This window comes from Homo sapiens, chromosome 9 (genome assembly GCF_000001405.40).
Source record: "Homo sapiens chromosome 9, GRCh38.p14 Primary Assembly".
In the NCBI taxonomy this organism is placed as follows: domain Eukaryota; kingdom Metazoa; phylum Chordata; class Mammalia; order Primates; family Hominidae; genus Homo; species Homo sapiens.
Window position 1 is genome coordinate 32,734,157 of NC_000009.12, and position 22,771 is coordinate 32,756,927.

Genomic DNA, 22,771 nt, shown 5'->3' on the forward strand with positions numbered 1-22,771 from the left:
AATCTACAATGAACTCAAACAAATTTACAAGAAAAAAACAAACAACCCCATCAAAAAGTGGGCGGAGGACATGAACAGACACTTCTCAAAAGAAGACATTTATGCAGCCAAAAAACACATGAAAAAATGCTCATCATCACTGGCCATCAGAGAAATGCAAATCAAAACCACAATGAGATACCATCTCACACCAGTTAGAATGGCAATCATTAAAAAGTCAGGAAACAACAGGTGCTGGAGAGGATGTGGAGAAATAGGAACAGTTTTACACTGTTGGTGGGACTGTAAATTAGTTCAACCATTGTGGAAGTCAGTGTGGCGATTCCTCAGGGATCTAGAACTAGAAATACCATTTGACCCAGCCATCCCATTACTGGGTATATACCCAAAGGACTATAAATCATGCTGCTATAAAGACACATGCACACGTATATTTATTGTGGCATTATTCACAATAGCAAAGACTTGGAACCAAGCCAAATGTCCAACAATGATAGACTGGATTAAGAAAATGTGGCACATATACACCATGGAATACTATGCAGCCATAAAAAATGATGAGTTCATGTCCTTTGTAGGGACATGGATGAAATTGGAAATCATCATTCTCAGTAAACTATCGCAAGAACAAAAAACCAAACACCGCATATTCTCACTCATAGGTGGGAATTGAACAATGAGATCACATGGACACAGGAAGGGGAATATCACACTCCGGGGACTGTTGTGGGGCAGGGGGAGCGGGGAGGGATAGCATTGGGAGATATACCTAATGCTAGATGACGAGTTAGTGGGTGCAGTGCACCAGCATGGCACATGTATACATATGTAACTAACCTGCACAATGTGCACATGTACCCTAAAACTTAATGTATAAAAAAAAAAAAGAAAAAAATCAAAGATCTTACATGGCAAAACCCAACATGAATGAAAGCCAACAAAATGGGGAAACAGTTTTTATAGCTCATATCACAGAGAAAGGGTAAATTCCTTAGTATAAAAGAACTCCTACTAATCAATAAGAAAAAAAGTCTGAAAATGCAATAGAAAAAAATGAACAAAAATTATCACTCCACAAGAAATGAAATACAAATGTCTCAAGACATCAGAAAGCATAATCAACTTCATTCATAATAAGAGAGATGCAATTTAAACTATACTGAGTTACCACTTATAGTAAGTATGGTTAACTACTACAGGTAGAGGAAAAAGGTAGGAGAACATGAAATAGGCATAAAATATACCTGCAAATTTGCAGGAAAATGTCAACACTGTTGCTTGTCGGGAAACCGGATGGTTGAGAGACTGAGAAGGAAGGAAAATGTCAGTGTCTTTTTTTTTTTTTTTTTTTTGTACCTTGAGAATTTTGAATCATGTGAATGACTTTGAAACATGTGGAAAAAATAAATAAAATTTAATTTAAAAAATCAATTTTCATTTCACCATTCTACTTTGCTCAGCTGCAGCTGGCCTCTGCTTTCCTGGCCCCTCTTCAAGAACTGCAAGAGCTTCTCAAAGTCCTCATGACATCCAGAGTGGTTTTGTAGCTCATGAAATGAAAGTCGTCCTCAGAACATTGCCAAATCGTTTCACATTTTAACGTGATGTTTCTGACAGAGCAGCTGTGGCTTCATTTAGCAGAATATTTGAGCATCTTAGTCTAAATACAACAGTTGGGCTCCTAGAACAAAAGGTTGTGGGGATGCATGTGTAAAAAGTCTGGAAAAGACTGTTTTTCTCTGTGGCATATACTACATTTCAGAACTGGAATTTTATTTTTACTTTATTATTCTGATTGGGTTTAACACGATAATATTATAAATAGTATAAGTAATATTTATCCCAATTCCAATACGCAGGTATATATTTTGCTTTTTGTCTCTTCACTCTTATAAAATTTAATTATTCTCCTTAACAGTACTGGGTGGAGTATAGTAGAACATCAGAGCAAGGAAGAACCTGAAAGTTCATTTGATGGTATTATTTCTCACAAGAATCTGTTTGCTGGGTATCAAGGGAATACCAGGTGACCTCTTTCCCTCTGTATTTGAATCTATTGTCTATTTCTCGAAAGACTCAATACAACAATCCATTTCAGGTCCTGAAATGACATGCGGGGCCAGGATGGTTTCTATTAACATATGCAAAGCCCCAGGAGGGTGGGAAGGAGAACTTGGGAGAACTCAGAACTGCAGAGACCAGCCTGGCTTGAAGAGTCTTAGGAAATACCATGAGATCTTGCCAACATCATAGGAGCAAGTAATTCTAACTTAGTTCAAATAAACAAAAGTTACAAAGATTTATAATACAGGTTAAGCCCCCTCCACATGGCACAGTGATGTTATAGTTCAACCTTTTCCTGTTTTAAAAACAGAGGAAAATTCATCCCTTAGTGACCTTTTTTTTTTACCTCCCAGACTAACCCTCTTGAATAACCATAATAATCCTCAACCTTTGATAAGCATCAAGGAACCAAGGGAGAAAGAAGAATTAAACCTACAAGTATAAGCTTTGCCCCCAGTATGAAAGAGACACAGCCAATCACTCTTCTTGTGGCATCTCACATCCTGTGCCACTCAGCACCTGCCTTTGATACTAGAAGTGTCCCCAGATGGACCCAGCCTTTCCTGACATTTTGACACATATGAAATATGTCCATATCAACCATGGAAGTTCTGCTTTTATTCAATGTTCACATCTGCCATCAATATTATAATTGTTTGAGAAAATAAATAAAACCAGTTTGAAGTCTAATGATCCAGACTGAACAAGTACTGTAGTGGGAACACAGATTATGAAAGAATGGTCCCATCCACAGCCAGGGACATGTGGGACTTTAGAGGGCTCCAAAAAAGAACTTTTCCATTCACTCCCTTCTTAAGCCCAAATGAGGTAAAAAGGTCTACTTTGGATTTTATCTGTTATTTCTAAAACCAGCTGAAGAGAGCACAGTTCCTGCAGGCAGATGTTATTTATTCCTCAATAATCTTTGCAAAGGTAGAGTTCATCATTCTTCTGAGAAAAGCTTGGGAAAGCTCTAGTTGAAGCCCTTAAGTTAGAATGAATTCATACCCAAGATTAGGGCCTGAGAATTCCTACGGTACCTGAGTGTCAGGTTCATAGAGGTATTTGCCTACCTCGGGAAATTCCGGGTCCAAAGGAACTAAAGAAAGCATTACTAACCACACAATATGGGAGCAATGTCTCCGCTTCATTGGCCAAGAAAAGCCTATTCAAGACCTTGAGTTTTTGAAGAAGTACAAGGGATATTTTACACAGCTTCAGTCCCAACCACCTCCCTGGGAATCTGTGGACACTATGGATAGTGGTGGTTGGAGTAGAAAGTGAGGCTTAAAATGCTCCAGGCCTGGTGTGGGAAATACCCAGTCCCCTATCTTCTTTCCTGTTCCCTAATCAAAGAACATCTGTAAACAATCATGCCACTCACAAGTACCCAGATGTAACTGCAAAATCCTGCTAAATACAGTGCTCCAGGCACACACAGCAAGTGATTAGGATTAGCCCCAAAATTCAATATATTTCCCAAACTTGCTTTAGATCAGGGTTCCTCGACAGCAGCACTACTACTGTTTTGGACCAGATCATTCTTTCTTGGGGATGGCTGCACGGTGCATTGTAGGTTGTTTAACAGCATCTCCAGCCTCTACCCATCTAATGCTAGCAGCACCCCCCACTCATTGTGAAAACCAGAAATGTCTCTAGACATTGCCCCCAGTTGAAATATACTGCTTTGGATAATAACAGAAGTCAAGTTACTCCAACCATCAAAACTTAAGAATCACCTGAAATAGAAAGAGTAACACAAATGAAAGTATCTCTGGATGGTCCCCTATTCCGATTCTAAAAAGTTTATTGGGAGATACATGTTTATGCAAGGGGCTAATTTAAGTATCAATTACATCTACAATCCCAGCAGCCTTGGATAAAATAGTCTGCTCTAGAAGCAAGAGAGAGAAATTTGTGGAGACCTGTTATCTTAGGCTGTAATTATAGTTGGGAAACTTCACGTGAAGAATCAGCCACAAGAAAGTATACAGAGATAGGGAGGGCTTATGGGGTCTTGCTGGTGGTCCACTTATCACAGAGCTGCCCAGGTTTCTCCCATAATAAAGTCCTGGAAGCTTGGAAGGATAATTATCAACAAAACAGCTTAGCATTTACTGAGCTTTCTATAGGCACAAGGCATTTTACATACAAGTATTTCACTTTTATTATCTTATTTAATCCTCACAAACATCTTAGGAATTGGATATTATTCTTATTCTCATCATACAGATAAGAAAATGGAGACTCAGAGAGATGAGGTACAAGTTTCCACAGCTAGTGAGTGCCAGTTTCAAAATATAAATTCCATTGTCCTGGCCGCAAATCTCATATTCTTTCTGCTACATGAAATATCCAGGAAAAATCGGATGCACCTCCTCCTCTTGGGGTCCCTCTTTTCACAATAGTCTGAGTTGAGTCCTACCCAGCTATATGACTCCTCCAGGTTGGGAAAGAGTCAATTCCCTAGGCAGGTCCTGAGTCAGAAGACTGCATATCCCCAAAGTGGACAAGCCTCAGCAAGGCCCTGCCAACTCCCTCTGAAAAAGGGGATCAGCACAGAATTGGTCCCTGAGGAATCTAGGCCAATGTGGGACTGGCAGTAACATCCTTAAGGGAAGATCCAAGCACACAGTAGAATCTCTCATTCTCCAGCTTTTTCTGGGGTTCTAAAGGATAGAACTTGTGTGCAATTGTATTAACCAATCACCATTCACCTGGGCAGTGACTCACCTAGAACATGAGTCACGTTTCACCCATTTCACTAGACCAGTGGTTCTCACACTTTAGAGTGCCTCAGAGTCACCTACAGGGCTTGTTAAACCACAGATTGCAGGGGTACCTAAGCCCAGAATTTCTGATTTGGTAGGTCTGGAGTAGGTCCTGATAATCTGCTTTTCTAACAGGTTGTCGGGTGATGCTGATTGTGCTAGTCCTAGGAACATCTTAATAACTACGTCGCCTTATTAAGCCTTGGATAAAGAAGACCACTTCATGGTAGGTGAAGTTCCTCTACCCTTTCCCCAGCCCCAGGCTCATATTCAGACAGGATTATTTTATGAATCCAGGTTACACCTTCACAGCCCAATAGAACTCAGTCAAGAATTCAACAGAGCAGGATTAGGAGAACATAGGGAGAGGGCTCCATCCTACAGGGCTGACCTCCTTCTCAGAGTGGGGTTCTTCTCTTTCCTTTGGGGAGCCAGAGTGCCAAGAAGGTCTTGTGCAGCCACAGAACAGCATTTCCCACTTGCAGGGTCCAATGGCCACGCATCACTAATCCTCCCCACAAATCCTTCCTCCAGCACCCCTTTCCAACAGCTTTCTCCCCATTTGCCAGGGGCTGTTCTGGCTCCCTACTCATCTTGCGAGCACACTGGCGGGCCAGGAAGGGAGGTGTAAAGGAGGAAGTCTAAGCTGGTGGGTTATTAACAGTTTGGCTTGGATGGGAAAGGGAATCTGAGCAGGGAGACAAAGTTATTACTGGAGACAGTCTGTTTATAGGCCTAAAGGGTCAAGAATTCCTGCTAAAAAGAAAATCCTCCAAAGACCACCCAAACCAATGAAGTATCAATACATCGGTCAGACTCAGAACTCAAAGATGGTATTAACAGAGTGGCATTTAAATGCCCCTTTTGTGAGTCCCTTTGAATCCTAGGCTAGGCCTAAGCCGTCTCCCTCCGTGATGAAATAGGGACAAGAATGTCAAGCTGATACCTGAGTTGCTCCTGATCGAGTAGGATTCAACTGTTCAGGACTGCATAAAAGGCCCAGCCGTGCATTTCAACTGGACAAGGCTACAACCAAAATGACAGTCATAATATTCTTGGCTTATTAAAGATATTTTATCATGTCATCCGAGACTCTAAGTTTGCTCTGCTGGCAAGTGGCTTGAAGACCAAAGTAAAAACGAATCTCTGTTATCTGGATTTTTATAACCAGTCTGGCAAGCCAGGAAACTCTTCCTTCAGGTGATATCTTGAAGTATGAAAAACCAAAAAAGGATACCAGAGGCTACAGAAGGAACTGTGGGGCAGTCAGCAAATCCACAGATTAAAACAGACAGTCACATGCCAAGGGGATAGATTAATATTACTACTATTAACAGTGGCGTTAGAAATTTGGGGGAGCTCATTTAATCACACTCCCACCCGACGCTGGTATTGAGAACAGACACAGGCAAGAAACCAGATGAGGATCAAAATAGTATCAGCTTTAATACTAGTAAAGCTGGATTTAAGACTGAAGCTCACTCCTGTGGTCCAGGCAGGGACTTCCTGCTTCCTCCTTCCAGGTCTGGTCATGGGGGTCTGACATGGGAACAGTTGGGTCTGCAGAGTAGACACTTACTCAACTTATGTGTGGAGGATCAAAGAACACCCAACACCCACAGATGGCAGAACAGAATCAGAGAGAGAAAGTAGCCTCTAGGCTGCCTCCAGACCAATGGTGTCAGATGCAGTTTCAGGTTGAAATCATTTGTTTACAAAAAAGGAAAAGTGAAGCAAAAAAAAAAAAATGTGGATGGCTGTGGGAGATTAGGCCTCAGAGATGGGGCCAAGAATAGCAGAAACATATACTTGGTGAGTATCCCTGACCAGGTAAGTTGTTCCTGACAGGAAAGTGAAGAGGGGACGAAGCGGGAAGGAAGTTTCCTCCCCAGGACTGCTGCTAGCAAAATGCCTCTTTTTTTTTTTGAGATGGAGTCTCACTCTGTCTCCCAGGCTGGAGTGTGCAGTGGCACAATCTTGGCTCGCTGCAGCCTCCCCTTCCCGGGCTCAAGCAATTCTCCTGCATTAGCCTCCTGAGTAGCTGGGACTACAGGCGTGCACCACTATGCCCGGCTAATTTTTTGTATTTTTGATAGAGATGGGGTTTTGTCATGTTGCCCAAGCTGGTCTCAAACTCCTGAGCTCAGGCAATGGGCCCATCTCAGCCTCCCAAAGTGCTATGATTACAGGTGTGAGCCACCACACCCGGCCCAAAATGCCTCTTCTGTGGGCCAAGGCAGAAGTGTGGGAAGATTAAGAGGATGCCAACCCTCCAAACAACAGTGACAATAACTGCTATGTTCACTTAACTCCTACTGTTTGCCAGGAGTTGTTCTTTCATACATTTAAATTTTGGAACAATCCTGTGTGGAAGGTATAACTATCCCCATTTTACAGATGAGGAAATGGAGGCTGACAAAGGTTACATCACTTGCCAAGGTGAGGGTGTAACTGAGTCACAGAGCTGCTGTGACTAGCTGCAGAGTCTATGCTTGTCCCATCACATTCAGCTACATACTCTCCTCCAGAACAGAGAGGGAAATGCAGTCACCAGAGAGTTGGAACTATGTGTATGCACAGCAGGGTGACTATCTAGGTTTTATCTGGGTGAGCACTTCAGACACTGCAATTCTTCTCTTAAACACCCATGCATATACTTGTAACTACTCTTCTTTAAATGAGGCATTAAATGAGGCATGCAAAGCTCTGTCTTTGTAGTTCACCTGGATAATGGTAATGATGGCCTGTGTAGAATAAGTCTGTGATGTCAAACAATGGGCTGAGCCTTCCCCAGTGTCAGGAACTTACCCAACCAGAAGTCATTAAGCTCGGTGGTTTCCCTCTTGCCTCCACAAGCACTCATTAGGGGCTGCGAAAGAAATGCCTTTTTATGTACATTCTCCCTGAAGTTTCCTACTGTGTGAGATTGGCATTTGGGTGCAGATTTCATCATCTGGGCTCCCTGCCAACTGCAGTGGAATAGTTCAAACTTCCAGCCTGTGAAGTCTCCTGGTCAGGGACCTTTACGCTCTGTTTTGCTGAAGGGTATGACATTTGCAAGTCAGCAGAAGGAAGGTTTCTGTACTTCTCGAATATCTTGGTAGAAATAAAATCTTTATGAGGGAGACCCTGTGTGGGATGATTTGAGCCAACCACTTGGCTTTCTTACAGAATAGACAGGTATAATTTCCATGTCCCAAACCAGGTCATCCTAGTGTAGTTTGTCCATTTGACAAATAGAAGGCAAAGAAAGAGCAAGAAGCAATGCTGAATGCTTCGGTTTCAAAGTTCAGGGCAAAGAGCTACAACTGGAATGTTCACATTTTTTCAGTACTCATCCCACGATCTGAAATTCCTAATAATGCTGGGTTGATGGGATGCAAACTGGGAGGGCAGGCACTGGGTGTGATTTAAGCATGAGTCAAAGACCATGGAGGCTTCAGTCAAATCTCATTTTCTTTTGTCAGGAATCCTTCATAATGCCCCAGTCTCTGATGTCATTTTAGTGGAATTCAATTTTAAGCAGTGCAGAACTATAGAATTGGTTACATTAGGCGTCAGATACAAGTCCAGTCACTAAACAGTCCAGCCTGTTGGGGAAGCCTAGTGGTAACCAGGACAATCAGCAGGAGGCAGGTTAGGAACTCCTGCCTCATGGTTTACAGTTGAGCATACAGTGATTAAGCAGCAAGCTCTTAAGTTAGCCAGGCTTCCCACTTTCTGGGGGATGTTTAATTATATCACACAGTGAACGGGAAATGCAAGACTAGTTTTCTCTTCATATTCTAACAAAAAGTGGCTCTTTCCCTCTAGAGGTTTGAAATGCCTCCTCCATTGACATGATGAAAGGGAAGGGCATTGATGCCACAAAGAGAAGGCAGTTGTCCAAGAAAATACACAGAGCCCTTGGGCCGGAAGGACAGAAAGCAGAGGCCACTTCTGGCCATCCCCATTAGTGGAGGCGTAGAGGTGTCTGCTGCGTCGTACTAAGAATACCGGTATGGGGTGGACAGTGGGAGGTGCGAATTTATGAAGTATCTGAAGATGATACTCTCACAGGATTGTAGATAAGGAATTAAGAATTGAGGAATAAGGACACTGAAGAAAGATTCAAACATCCAGCATACAATGGTACAGGGCAAGTTCTTTCAGGACAAGAGTCCCCAAACATAAAAGAAGGAAAATAATCTAGACCTTGGTTACTGGGTTGTCACTAGTGTCCTAATGAGAAGTGACTGAAAATTGCCCCCACAATATGATGTTTTGTGAAGTTCTAATTAAAGACCCAGAGCTTGGTCATTCTGTATAAACCTGTTCATATCTTCATAAAATCCCAAATCCCCTTCAGGTACCATCAGATGGAGGCCCCTGACCTGAGGAAACCCTACTTCACCATCGGCAGAACCAGCCCCCAATATTTCAATGTAGGTTCTTTTCTATTTTCCCTAAGTGTTGGCCTGTCTGAGAAACAAAGAGAAAGAGTACGAAAGAGAAAAATTTTACAGCTGGGCCTCCGGGGGTGACATCACATGCCAGCAGGTTCCCTGATGCCCCCAAGCTGCAAAACCAGCAAGTTTTTATTAGGGATTTCAAAAGGGGAGGAGTGTACGAATAGGGAGTGGGTCACAGGGATGACACAGTTCAAATGGCAATAAAATATCACAAGGGCAGAAGGGCAGAGCAAGGTCACAAGGCCAGGGCAAAATTAGAATTACTAATGAGGTTCCATGTCCCCCTGTGCACACATTGTCATTGATAAACATCTTAACAGGAAACAGGGTTCAAGAGCAGACAACCGGTCTGACTAGAATTTGCCAGGCTGGAATTTCCTAATCCTAGCAAGCCTGAGGGCGCTGCAGGAAACCAGGGCGTATTTCATCCCTTATCTTCACAGTTTATGTTCAGAGACTGCAGTAAAGACAGGCATAAGAAATTATAAAAGTATTAATTTGGGGAACAAATAAATGTCCATGAAATCTTCACAATTTATGTTCTTCTGCCATGGCTTCAGCCAGTCCCTCCATTCGGGGTCCCTGACTTCCCACAACACTTCACTATTACAGTTAGGTGTCTGGGGCTCAGCCAGAATGGTGAAGCCAAGCAGGCAATCCTTCTCTGATAGGATGTTTCCTAACAAGGCTTATTTCTGCTTCCACGTGATACACATTAAAATGTTTAGTTAAATTTGAAGGCCTAAACATCACAGGCTAGGATCAGGAGATGGCTGGGCCATGACTACATATTATATACCTGGAGTTTAGGACAAAATTCAGCAGACATCCAACGTGGATGCAGATGTATTTGCTGTTAAACTCCAACATAATAATTTGAGAGTCTTAAAGAGAGTTCTTAAAACCACCAAAGGTGATTAGACCCAAACCTTATAACCAACTTGAAACACAAAAGCTGAAATATTGGGAATACTGAAATATCAGAAATGAAGAAACTAGCAAGTTCTAGTTATTCTTAGAGTTTGTTTAGATACATTCAACCAGAAACTCTTGTGTTTGTCTAAATTGGCCAATTCAGTCATGGTCATTAAAATTTATCATTCAAAAATTGAAAACAGAATTACCACATGATCTAGCAATCCCACTTCAGGGTACATAGCCAAAGGAACTGAAATCAGTATGTCAAAAAGCTATCTGCACTCTCATGTTCACTGCAGCATTATTCACAGTGGCTAAGATATAGAAGCAGCATACATGTCAATCAACAGATGAATGGATAAAGAAATGTGGTATATATACACAATGGAGTACTATTCAGCCTTTAACAAGAAGGAGATGTTGTCATTTACAGTAACATGAATAAAGCTGGAGGACATTATATCAAGTGAAATAAGCCAGTTACAGAAAGACAGATACTGCATGATCTTACTTGTATGTGGAATCTTAAAAGAGTCAAACCTATAGAGTAGAGAGCAGAATGGTGGTGACCATTCTACTGTCATTCCAGAGGATAGAATTAAGGGGGATGAGAATGGGGAGATGTTATTCAAAGGGTAGTTTCAGTAAGTTAGGAGGAATAAGTTTCAGAGAATAAGTTTCACCATGCTATTACACAGCATGGTGACTATAGTTAATAATAATGTATTATACATGTCAAGTTTTCTAAGAGTAGGTTATTAATATTCTTGCCATGAAAAAATAAGTATGCGAGGTGATGAGTATGTTAATTAGCTAATCATTCCATGATATAAACATATATTAAAACATTGTACCTCCTAAATATGTACAGTTATTTGTCAAGGGCAGATTGCCTGAGGTCAGGTGTTCATGACCAGCCTGGACAACACGGTGAAACCCCGTCTCTACTAAAATACAAAAAAATTTAGCCAGGTGTGGCGGCATGCTCCTGTAGTCCCAGCTACTCAGGAGGCTGGGGCAGGAGAATTGCTTGAACCTGGGAGGTGGAGGTTGCAGTGAGCCAAGATGGTGCCACTGCACTCCAGCCTAGGTGACAGAGCAAGACTCTGTCTCAAAATAAATAAATAAAATAAATAAATAAAAATTATAAAAAATAAAAAAATGAATTTTTAAAGATTTACAGTTCAGACCAAAATATTGATTTTCACTTGTAAAGTTTTCTTAGTACTCTTTTTCTCTTATTTTTAAAGTTTATTTTTGACCAGATAATGAATGAATATGGTTCAAAATTCAGAAAGTGAAAAAGGATGTATAAAAGTAAGTGAAATTTTTTCCTCCCACTCCCAACTCCCAGCCACCCACTTTTCCTCTCCTTAGGCAAAGTGTTATTAATTTTTGTGTGTATCTTCCAGAGATATTTGAGACATAAAAGCAATGTGGGTTGGGAAAAAGAACGTATACCTTTCCCCCATTTTTGTACCAATGATACCAGATGTCAAGGAAACGTATTTGAAGGAGAGCCCTCAACATTTCGAAAAGTTTGGCTGACAGGTTGGTAACACTTATTTATAGCAATCATAAGAACTTATTTAGCAGTTGTTTTTTATGTCTTCTTATAGCTGTGATTATATTGTTTGGGGTCAGAGACCCCTTTTGAATATATTATGAAAATAATGGATCCTCTCCATAGAAAGAGAAGCACATATGTACTTACATACAAAAAATTGCATAGAATGTCAGAAAGTTTCATTATCCACACAAAGCACTACCACCAACAACAAAGACAGCAAAGGAATCAAGGTTCAGAGAAACTAATTTGCCAAGATTCATAGAGTTACTGAACGGTGGAGCTGGAATTCAAATCAGTCTGCTCGATTCCAAGGCTCATGCTCTATCTCCACCCTTCTCTTCCCTTCCTCTCTTCTATGTATTGTTGCTACTGAGCCCTTCACTGATACAAGGGCAGGGTAGATGGTGTCAGTTCAGCAGCTCCTGTAGTCTTCAATTCCCAGCTATCTTGGTGAAATCTAACCTAGAGCTATGACTCCTTGTATGGTCTTGAGAACCTACTTCTCGAGATACAGCCTCTTACATAAAAAGTGATACAGGATTGAGAGCAAAGGACATTGAAAAATAAGACAGAGACACAGGGCCATTTGTGCAGTTGCTGATATCTTTAGTCCCAACTTCCTACATGTAGGAATTTTATGTTAAAAGTGACAGTGTCTTCCTGAAAAGACAACTGGTATCCTAAGTCTGATAGAAAATACAAGGGATAAATCAAAGATAAGATTCATAACTATGCTAGTATGAATGACTTTCTTTTCAAGAAACAATATAAAAATGATAAGTGGGGAAAAGGCATAACACGAATCAAAAGTCAAACTGTCTCTGCCCACTCTATCATCCAACTGCCTGTTTTAGAAACTTACAGGTTTCTTTTTCCTATAGAGGAATTCCGCCACACACTCCACAAATATAGGGCCTTGGACATCAAATTTGTTCTCTCTTTATAGATTTAGTCATAGTTGTATTTGTCACCTGAGCAGCCATAACCTGCTGAATCTCAATAGAAGGACAGAAAATGAGTCACAGCAAGCGAAAGGGTGCTATGAGAAGGGATATGTGGAGCAGCAGGGCAGGACCCTCTAGACAGCAGTGGTGGATTTACCCTTCTGTACATCTTTCCGGAATATGGCACAGAGAAACAGAAACAGAGATGCTGGTGCCAATGGGAAATTTTCCTGGCAATTGCATTTGTTAAAATCTTGGGTTCTGAAGTCAGAAAGATCTCTTTGAACCTTGGCTATGCCATTTTGAGTAAATTACTTACCTTCTCCGAACCTCTACTTAGAACTTCATCCATAAAACAGGGAAGATGACAACATATCTCATTGAGTTTCTGTGGGAATTAAGTAAGAATGGATTGACACAGTGTCTGACACATTGTAAATGCTCAATAAAAGGAAGCTATTAGTATGACTGGTCTGTAATTGTGGACATTTTTACCAATGGCTCATGGATGCTGTTCTGCTCATAATAAAAGCATTTTCCAGTGACATCCCAGGATGAGAAACATATTCTAAATTGGGATTTTTCTTAAGGCTTAAACTAACCAAGTCTTCTAGTTTGCCCAAAGATGTTGTTTTGTTTTGTTTTCCTTTCAAACCATGAATGAAAGTTTAATTTTATCAATTGTTTTTATAATGCCTATAGAGACAATCTGTTAATGTGTTGAATTACATTCATATTCAAATAATAAATAAACTTTGCATTCCTGGATTGAACCCAACTTTGATGTTACATTTATTTTATTTTAATTTTATTTTTCCATAGGTTATTGGGATACAGGTGGTATTTGGGTACATGAGTAAGTTCTTTAGTGGTGATTTGTGAGATCCTGGTGCACCCATCACTCGAGCAGTATACACTGCACCATATTTGTAGTCTTTTATCCCTCACCCCCTCCCACTCATCCCCAAAGTTCATTGTATCATTCTTATGCCTTTACGTCCTCATAGCTTAGCCCCCACCTAACAGTGAGAACATATGATGTTTGGTTTTCCATTCCTGAGTTACTTAACTTAGAATAATAGTCTCCAATCTCATCCAGGTTGCTGCAAATGCCGTTAATTCATGCCTTTTATAGCTGAGTAGTATTCCATCGTGTATATATATATATACACACAGTTTCTGTATCCACTCATTGATTGATGGGCATTTGGGTTGGTTCCAGGATTTTGCAACCACGAATTGTGTTTCTATAAACATTGCATGAATTTTAAATCAATGTCTGGATTCAGTTTTCTAATTTTTGTTTAGCATTTTTGCATTTATGTTCATGAGGAATACTGACCTGTACTCTTCTTTTCATGAATATTCTTGTTAGGTTATGGCATCAAGATTATCCTAGCCTTATAAAATGAGCTAGGATTATTTCTTTAATTCTATGAAAGAATTTATATAAGATTGTTTTTCTTTCTTTCCTGAATGTTTGGAAGGGTCCACTGGGGAAGTCATATGACCTGGGGTTTTCTATATGGAATGACTGCAATTTTCAGATTTAATTTTTTAAATAGCTATAGGGCTATCTAGAATTTGTTTCTTTTTGTGTCCATTTTGATAAGAATGTGTTTTTCAAGAAATTGTTCATTCATTTGAACTTTTGTTAAGTGACATAAATTCTTTAATAATACCAACTTTTTTTAAAACTTTAGTAGGATCTTCAGTGATATCCTGTTTTTCATGCCCAATGATGGTAATTTGCATGCTTACTCTGTCTCTCTCTCTCCACCCCCCAACCCGCTCTCCCATCTCCCTCTCCCTCTCTTTTGCTGCTTAATCTTGCTAGGGGTTATTGATTTTATTAGATTTTTCAAAGAGCTGACATTTAGATGTGTTGACTTCTGTTCTATGACTTTTCCATTTTTACTCTTATCTTTATTATTTCATTTATTCAACCTTCTTAATTTGTTGTTCCTTTTTAACTCTTTGAGATAAAAGTTTAGATAATGTGCTCTAAGTCCTTTTTTAATATATACATTTAAGGACAAAAATTTTCCTCTATGCACTGTTTTAGCATCATTCATATATTTTGTATGTCATATTTTCATTATCATTCAATTTATAATATTTTCAAGTTTCTATTGAAACTTCGACTCATGGAATATTTGGATGTATATTACTTGATTTCTAAATATTTGGAGATTTTCTAGTTATTTTTGTTATTGATTTGTAAAAATAAAAGATTCTTTGAGACTTACTTGAAAAACATATGTGTTCCGAAGTTGCTGGATACACTGTTCTATTATGTAAATTAGATTAATTTATCGATTAAGTTTTCTAAATTTTCTGTATCTCTACTGATGTTTGATTCTTCCATATGTTACTGGGAAAAGTTGTTAAAATCTTCCACTATATTTGTAAGATTGTTCACTTCCCTATTTAGGACTGTTAGATTTTGTTTCACATATTTTGAAGCTATGTTATTAGGTTCATACAAACTTGAACTATTGTATCTTTCTGGTAAATTAACCCTTTAAAATGTCATCTTTAATACGTCTTGCCTTAAAATCTATTTTGTCCAAGTCCTTACATTCAAGGTATGTCTCTTAGTAAGAAGCATACAATTGTGGGGTTTTTTTCTATTTCTTTTTGCTTTTTAATTGATGTATGTCAATTTATATTTAATGTAATTACTCACATTTGAATTTGTATCTATCATGTTACTATTTTCTAGTTCTTCCTCCTCTGTGTTCCTTTTTCTCTCTTCCTACTTTCTTTTGAATTACTCAAATATTTATTCTGTATTTCTCCTCTATTAGAACTTTTACTATGATGTTCCTACATGTGGTTGTCTTTGTATTTATACTACTGTGTTTTATGTCTTGAATCTATGGTTTGATGCCTTCTACCCATTTTGTACATTTTTCATCCTTTAATGCTTGAAATATTACTTCTAAATCATTCTCTGTTTTCTCCTTTAGGTATTTCAGTTACATGTGTGTTAGGTCTTGTCACCTAGTTCCATGTCTCCTGTGCTTTTTTCTGTATTTTCTATATTTTTTTCCTAACACTGTATGCTTCAGTCTGGATATTTTATATTCATCTATCTTCCAGATAAATAACCATTTCTTCAGATAGCTGTTACATATTCTTAATCTATTGTGTTTTTAATTTCAGGCCATTTGGGGAGTGTTTAAGAGGGGCATTTTTCCAGTTCTAGAATTTCTTGGAGTTTTTTTCAGGGCCTTTTCTCCTTGGAAAACCCTAAAATCCAATTCTTATCTCCCCACCATTGTGAGAAAGCTCTGTTTGGCAACTTTGCCCCTTAACTGCCTCTTTTTTAAGTCAGTGAATACCTCCAGGAGATAAGTGGTTTAGACTGTCTCATTTTTCTGCAGGCTTTTGGCCTCTCAGGTTTTTGCTGTGTCTATAGCTCTAAACTCCGATTTTTATCTCCCCTGCCATAAGAAACAGATAAAAGCTCTGCTCAAATTCTTTGCCTCCTAGAAGTCACTTTCTACTTGGTTTCTCAAGTTCTTTGTCCTTGCTACTTAAGAATCAAAGAGAAATACTTTGAAGGAGGCTAGGCATGGTGGCTCACACCTGTAATTCCAGCACTTTGGGAGGCCGAGGCGGGTGGATCACCTGACGTCAGGGATTTGAGACCAGCCTGGCCAACATGGTGAAACCCTGTCTTTACTAAAAATACAAAAAACTAGCTGGGTGTGATGGCATGCACCTGTAGTCCCAGCTACTCGTGAGGCTGAGGCAGGAGAATCACTTGACCCCAGGAGGTGGAGGTTGCAGTGAGCCAAGATCGTGCCATTACACTCTAGCCTAGGCAACAAGAACAAAGCTCCATCTCAGAAAGGAAAGAAAGAAAGAGAGAGAGAGAGAGAGAGAAAGAAAGAAAGAGAGAAAGAGAAAAGAGAAGAGAAGAGAAAAGAAAAGAAAAGAAAGAAAGAAAAGACAAGACAAGGAAGAGAAAAGCAGTTTCAAATATCAGGCTCACCTCAATGAGTGTTCCTTTATCTCCAGAATTTTCTCCAGTCCTGGCTATCTTCATACCTCTCCAAAGCCCCTTTCCCATCTACCTCCACCTCCCCTGCTACAGGATGACTGACTGTTCTTCCTGAAGCCCTGCCACACTCAGACCGCCTGATCAGAACCTCGGTGGACACCATCCATCAACAGTGGATATAAAGGAAGCTATGGCAGTAGCACTGGGATAGTGCCTGGCACATAATAGGTACTCAAGGACATAGGAACGAATGAATGAATGAATGAATGAACTAACCAACAAACAAATGAATGTGAGAAGAGGCTAAGAAGAAAGTGAATCTCAGGAGCTGGCTCTTTGGCTCCTATTCTGCCTCCTACCCCCAAACTCCTCTCTGCTAAAAACTCTTGAGGCCTCCAAGAGTTATATCCCTAAGATCTGGTTTCCTTACAAAGGTCATGGCCTCCTTGCCTCCTGGGTCTGGGGGAATTTCAGAACCCTAATTTCTAGGACAAACTCTCCAACTACTTCTGGGATGAGTTCCTGACTTGGCTTTGGTCCTGTCCAGGGCTTACTCTGCCTTCTCAATAGCAATTCCAGGCCAAGAATTCTGAAGGCATTTCTTAAAACAGAAGATGTTTCCTTGAGTTACACTCAGTTCTCTAGAAGTTTCACTATAGGGATTTCCCTACGTAGACCTGGAGACAGACATTCAACATACATTAGGGGTCTGGGATAAGAGAAGTTTAATAAATAATATTTGTTAATAAATCCCTCTGGATCTACTCAGAGAAAATCATGTGGTGGTGGCACACTAGAGATTTTAAGATGAATAAGATGTGAAGTTTACTTTCAAGAAATTACAGCTTTTAAACCGCATCAGAATTAGTGAGCATTCTTAGTTGCAAGTGACAAATGGATTTTGTTTTACTTCTACAACTGAATTATAAAAATACATGGCCTGGCCGGGTGCAATGGCTCATGCCTGTAATCCCAGCACTTCGGGAGGCCGAGGCAGGTGGATGACTTGAGGTCAGGACTTCGAGATCAACCTGGCCACATGGTGAAATCCCATCTCTACTAAAAATACAAAAATTGGCTGGGCAAGGTGGCTCACACCTGTAATCCCAGCACTTTGGGAGGCCGAGGCGGGCAGATCACCTGAGGTCGAGATTTCAAGACCAGCGTGGCCAACATGGAGAAAGCCCGTCTCTACTAAAAATACAAAATTAGCCGGGCATGGTGGTGCATGCCTGTAATCCCAGCTACTCGGGAAGACTGAGGCAGGAGAATTGCTTGAACCTGGGAGGCGGAGGTTGCAGTGAGCCAAGATTGTGCCATTGCACTCCAGCCTGGGCAACAAGAGTGAAACTCTAGCTCAAAAAACAAAAAACAAAAAATTATCCAGGTGTGGTGGTGCATGCCTGTAGTTCCAGCTACTCGGGAGGCTGAGACATGAGAATCACTTGAACCAGAGGGGTGGAGGAGGTTGCAGTGAGCTGAGACTGCACCACTGCACTCCAGCCTGGGCAACAGAGTGAGACTCTGTCTCAAAAAAAAAAAAAAAAAAAGGCCTGAAAGTCAACTAAAACCAGGACAAGAATGCAACCAGGACTCCCTCTTGACCCTTTATTTCAGCCTCTCTCTGTATGTCAGTTTTCTCTTAGTCTTCTAGAAGTCACCAGAAACGCGACTAGTAGCAGCAGCAGGCTCTTATCACCAGCTTTGTCACCAGACACAACTCAAGAAAAAATAATCCCAGAAAAGGATTTTCATTAACTCATCTTGGCTCAGGTGCCCATTCCCAGAAAATCCACTGTGGCCAATGGGATGGATAGTCTAATTGGCTCCACTTGGATCATATGTTCATCTCTGGCCAATCAGCAGTAACCAGAAGACTAAGAACTATAAGAATACATCAGATCTCAGTCAAATTATATGTCTAACATAACTCAGCAGACAGAACAATAAACATTCACTACTACTCCCATAAGACCAAGTTCTTTCTACATGGGAAACACCCTACAATAGAGGCATTTCCTGGAAGGGCTATTCATTTTTCAGTGAGCTGTAACAGTTTTCAAATGTCTGTAGATGCCTCTGATTGCAAAAAATAGTCAGATCTTTTCATTGTGAAGACCCCTTTGTCCTCTAAACTTGCTCACTATCTGGCTAGAGCCCTCCTACTCAAGGTTATACCACTGACTGGGTCAAATCTGTTTTCTGGCTTCAGGAATGAAACATAATGAGCCAATGTATTTATCTCTGATGGGCAAAGCTCCACCTTCAAGCCCTTAAGTGACCTTGTAGACTCTACTATAGTGACATCCTGTTGATGACAAGAAGTCAGGGGATCTGAGTTCTGGCCCCACATTTTGCCTTCCAAGGCCAGATGCTGTTGGCCAGGTCACCTCTCTTGAGACTCAGGGATTCAGTATCTACCCTCCTGTTCACAGAACACAGACAGGATCATGGGGATGAATGACCATGTACACTTGAGTTGTGAAATCCTCTGCAGACCCAAGAATGGCAGTTCATACAGGGCTACCCATAGTCTCATCTAGAGCATCTCAGGCCAACCCAGTTGCCCTCATGCTCAGGAGCTCCCTCCCTTTTTAGGCCCTGTCTGTTCTGCTCATGGCCAACTTAAATTCCTCTGGCTCTTGGGTTGGGGGTGGGGAGTAGATGACCACCCTTGCCCTTAATCTGGAGTGGGCTAAGCCTAGTCCCTCCCACTATTCATGTGATGTAGGAATTAGCCCTTGGCTAAGAACAGACTCCATGCCATTCCAGGACTCGCTGCCTTAGAATGAGCAAAGAGTGGGAGGGCAGGAAGAGAAAGGAAATGTTTACCATCTGTTCAATCTGGGGGCCACTGGGAGATCGAATTTTTGACACAAAATGTTACCATGTGATAACGACAATTTTTAATAGTAGACAAAACTCTAGACCAGGAGACAAGGGACCCAAGTTTTCCTTTTGACTTGGTCTCTAGCTACGTGTCCCTTGAAAATGTAAATTCACCTCTGTTTTCTTACCTACAAAATAGAGTGATTGGATCAGGTAAATTGTTCTCCTTCTGTCTCTAATATTTGATGATATGGAAGCCTGTGCACAGGAAGGAGTGCAGTGGCAGAGAAGAGGGATATAGACACTCTGTGTAGATCTGTGGTTCCTGACATTGGCCATGAACCCCTAGGAGAGAGGACACAGAATTTTTTCAAAGGGTTCTCAAACTTACACATGAGCCAAGAATTATCTGCAGACAGAATTAAAAAAAAAATTTCACACATATATGTACTACTTTCAAATCTACATGTGTGCTACTGGGATTAATTAAATGTGAATTCATTTTAAAAAGAAATTTTTTACATTATAAAATACTTTCAATCCACGGATGCCAAAAGAACTACCATCATTGGGGAATCTTTTTTGTTTGTTCATAATAAGGTTTTCTTATGAAATGGAGAACCAGTGATGATGAGGAAAACTTACAGTATGGAGAGATTGTCCCTGGGGAAGTTTCAATTTAACTACTGCCTATGAATTATGAGAAATTAAGGCTAATTTTAGACAAAATCCTGTTTTGCTTTTAAAACCTAACCTTAATGTCGCCTCCTCTATGAAGCCTCCCTGCTGGGTCACCATGCTGCCCATAGCCCCAACAGGATTAGACATCCTATTAGTCAGGGTCCTAGGAGGAAAAAAATGACACACTGAAATAAGGATAATTTGGCAAAGATTTGCTACAGGATTATTTACAGAGGTATAAGCAGTTTATAAGGAAAATACAAGGGCTAGTGCCATACCCAGCGTGCTACGAGGAGGGCTGTTTCCACCTGAGGCCTGACAGCAAAGGGAAGAGTGATTGTTGGAACTGGCAGGAAAGCGGTATGGAGACGGCCACCTTGTGTGGAGCTGTGGTTCTTGTTGGAGGGATGCGGCCAGCCCAAGGCCACACTGCAGGGGAAGCCAGGGGAATAAATACCCCACCTCACTCTCCTCCTCCACCTCCCATCACCTACTGCTGCCCCATGAACAAGTGCAGCCAGAGACTGGGAGACAAAGGAGTCCAATGACATAGCTCACGCAAGCCAGTGTTCTAGGGCAGAATGCTGGGTGAAGAAGGGTGAGAGCAGGCCTGGAGGAGCAAGCAGGAAACATCCTCACACAATCACCTTCTTTTCTGAGCTCCTGCAGGACTCTGTACTTATCTCTCTCTAGCTCTTTCCCTATTCAGTGTTAATAGCCTATTGATACTTCTGCCTCTCCACTACACGGTGAATTCCCTAAGGGCAGAAACTATTTATCATTTGGTTTTGCAGTCACAAAACTAAGCACAATGTAGATCCCTAAGAAATATTTGTTGGATTTTTATGTGAGGCAACAGTTTTGGAAAGAAGTGCCATATGGTCTGCATAGGTGGCACCCGCTGCTGCTGCTGGGTGTGCTGAGGACCTGCGGGTCCTGGAACACATCTCCTTTCCCACAGCACCACATGAGATGAATGGGAAAAATCGTACCTGTCGAGTGTTTCTGAAGCTGAGGCTGATGGAAGCCTATTGAAAGGGGAAAGGTTCCCTTGTCGCCCTCGCAGGGTGTGCGATTGTGGCTCACTTCTTCAGTGCCCCACTGCTCAAACCTCTAGGGGAGCATACAGACGGGCAGGCTGTGGGGCTCCAACCCCACGGCAGTGTTTAGGGGTGAATGTTTACAGATCCTGAGGCCCCAGTGGGCGTGGGTTACAAGGTGCTCCTTTAGTTTTGCTCTTTTAGTTTGCAGGGCGGCTTGTGTTAACCAGCTCAGTTAGAACCTCTACCTTGTCGCAAGGACAGAGGGCTTTCTGTATCCCGGATTCTTGCCTTGGTGTACCGGAAGAATCGGATCACACGTGGGCTTGGAGAATGAGTGTAAAGTTTTATTGAGTGGAAGTAGCTGTCAGCCGATGCGGGGAGCCAGAAGGGAGATGGTCTTCCCCTGGAGGTGGGCCTCTCTGTGGCCCCAGCTCTCCTCCGATCGCCCTGGCCAAACTCCGCCTCGTCCCCGCCGTTGGATGGCCTGCCGGGTGCCGGCGTCTGTCAGTGTGCTCTTCCCTTCAACGTCCTCTCGCTGTCCAGCCGCTTGTCTTCTTCGTCAACGTGTTCCTCTCACCGTCCAGCAGCTTCTGTGTCTCTGCCTTGCTAGAGTCTCGGGTTTTTATAGGCCCAGGGTGGAGGCATGGCGGGCCAGGGTGGTCTTGGAAAATGCAACATTTGTGGGTGAAAGCAGGATTGTCTGTCCTCACCTAGGTCTGTGGGGATGGACCCCTAGCCAGGGACCCGCCTTTCTCTACCCAGCACTTTCCTGCCCCACTCCCGTATCACTACGATCGTAACACAAGTAACTAAAACCTCAAAGCTCATGGAGTTAACCTAAATTTATTGGAGAATCAAAAGAGGGGTAAGTGGAAGCAGGGTGAGGGTTACCTATTGAATACGATGTATACTATTCGGGTGAGTGGTCCACTAAAAGCCCAGACTTCACCACTACAATTCATCCATGGAACCAAAAACCACTGTATCCCTAAATCTATTGAAATAAAAAAAAATCAAAAATTAACATACCCTTCCCATTTATCTGATTCTCTGAGGTCACCTTTAATTGTCTGAGCTATTTTTACAACTCTACGAGTTGTAGATAACTGATAGCAATAAAAATGATTCCTATCCATAGACACACAAAAAATAAGTAAATTTTCCAAAAGTTTCCATAGGTCACCTTTCTTGTTCTTACTTCAAAGTGTCACTTATTAAATTGCCTTCTCTTGTTCCCAGAGTCACATAACTTTGAACACAGAAATCATGTGTATTCTGATATGTTCAAAGAAAAAAAATTACATACTATTTACAATAGGATTTTTAAGTACCTAACAAAAAATGTGCTAGACTTTAATAGAGAACATTGTAAAAACTTTATTGAAATACATTAAGAATAACCAAATAGATGTAGAATGTTCATCCAAATGATGTGTAGATTTAATGCAATTCTGATCAAAAACCCACATATATGTTGTGAAACTTAAT

The 22,771-nt window shown here is 41.1% G+C and overlaps 2 long non-coding RNA genes across 8 annotated transcripts in view; one reads left to right on the forward strand and one right to left on the reverse strand.

Annotated features, from left to right (window-relative positions):
* Positions 1 to 22,771, reverse strand: part of LOC105376017 (uncharacterized) — a 104,021-nt gene that overhangs the window by 54,870 nt on the left and 26,380 nt on the right. For 5 of the 6 annotated variants that reach the window (XR_929559.2, XR_007061451.1, XR_929558.3 and 2 more), the window contains exon 4: positions 13,038 to 13,106. This is a non-coding gene — a long non-coding RNA (uncharacterized LOC105376017). Of the gene's footprint in view, positions 1 to 1,446; positions 1,682 to 13,037; positions 13,107 to 22,771 lie in introns of those variants that run through there. The other variant, XR_929560.1, reaches the window with a different exon arrangement.
* Positions 4,815 to 22,771, forward strand: part of LOC105376016 (uncharacterized) — a 28,481-nt gene continuing 10,524 nt past the window's right edge. For both annotated transcript variants that reach the window (XR_929554.3, XR_929555.3), the window contains exons 1-4: positions 4,815 to 5,061; positions 9,184 to 9,259; positions 11,455 to 11,521; positions 11,617 to 11,755. This is a non-coding gene — a long non-coding RNA (uncharacterized LOC105376016). The remainder of the gene's footprint in view (positions 5,062 to 9,183; positions 9,260 to 11,454; positions 11,522 to 11,616; positions 11,756 to 22,771) is intronic.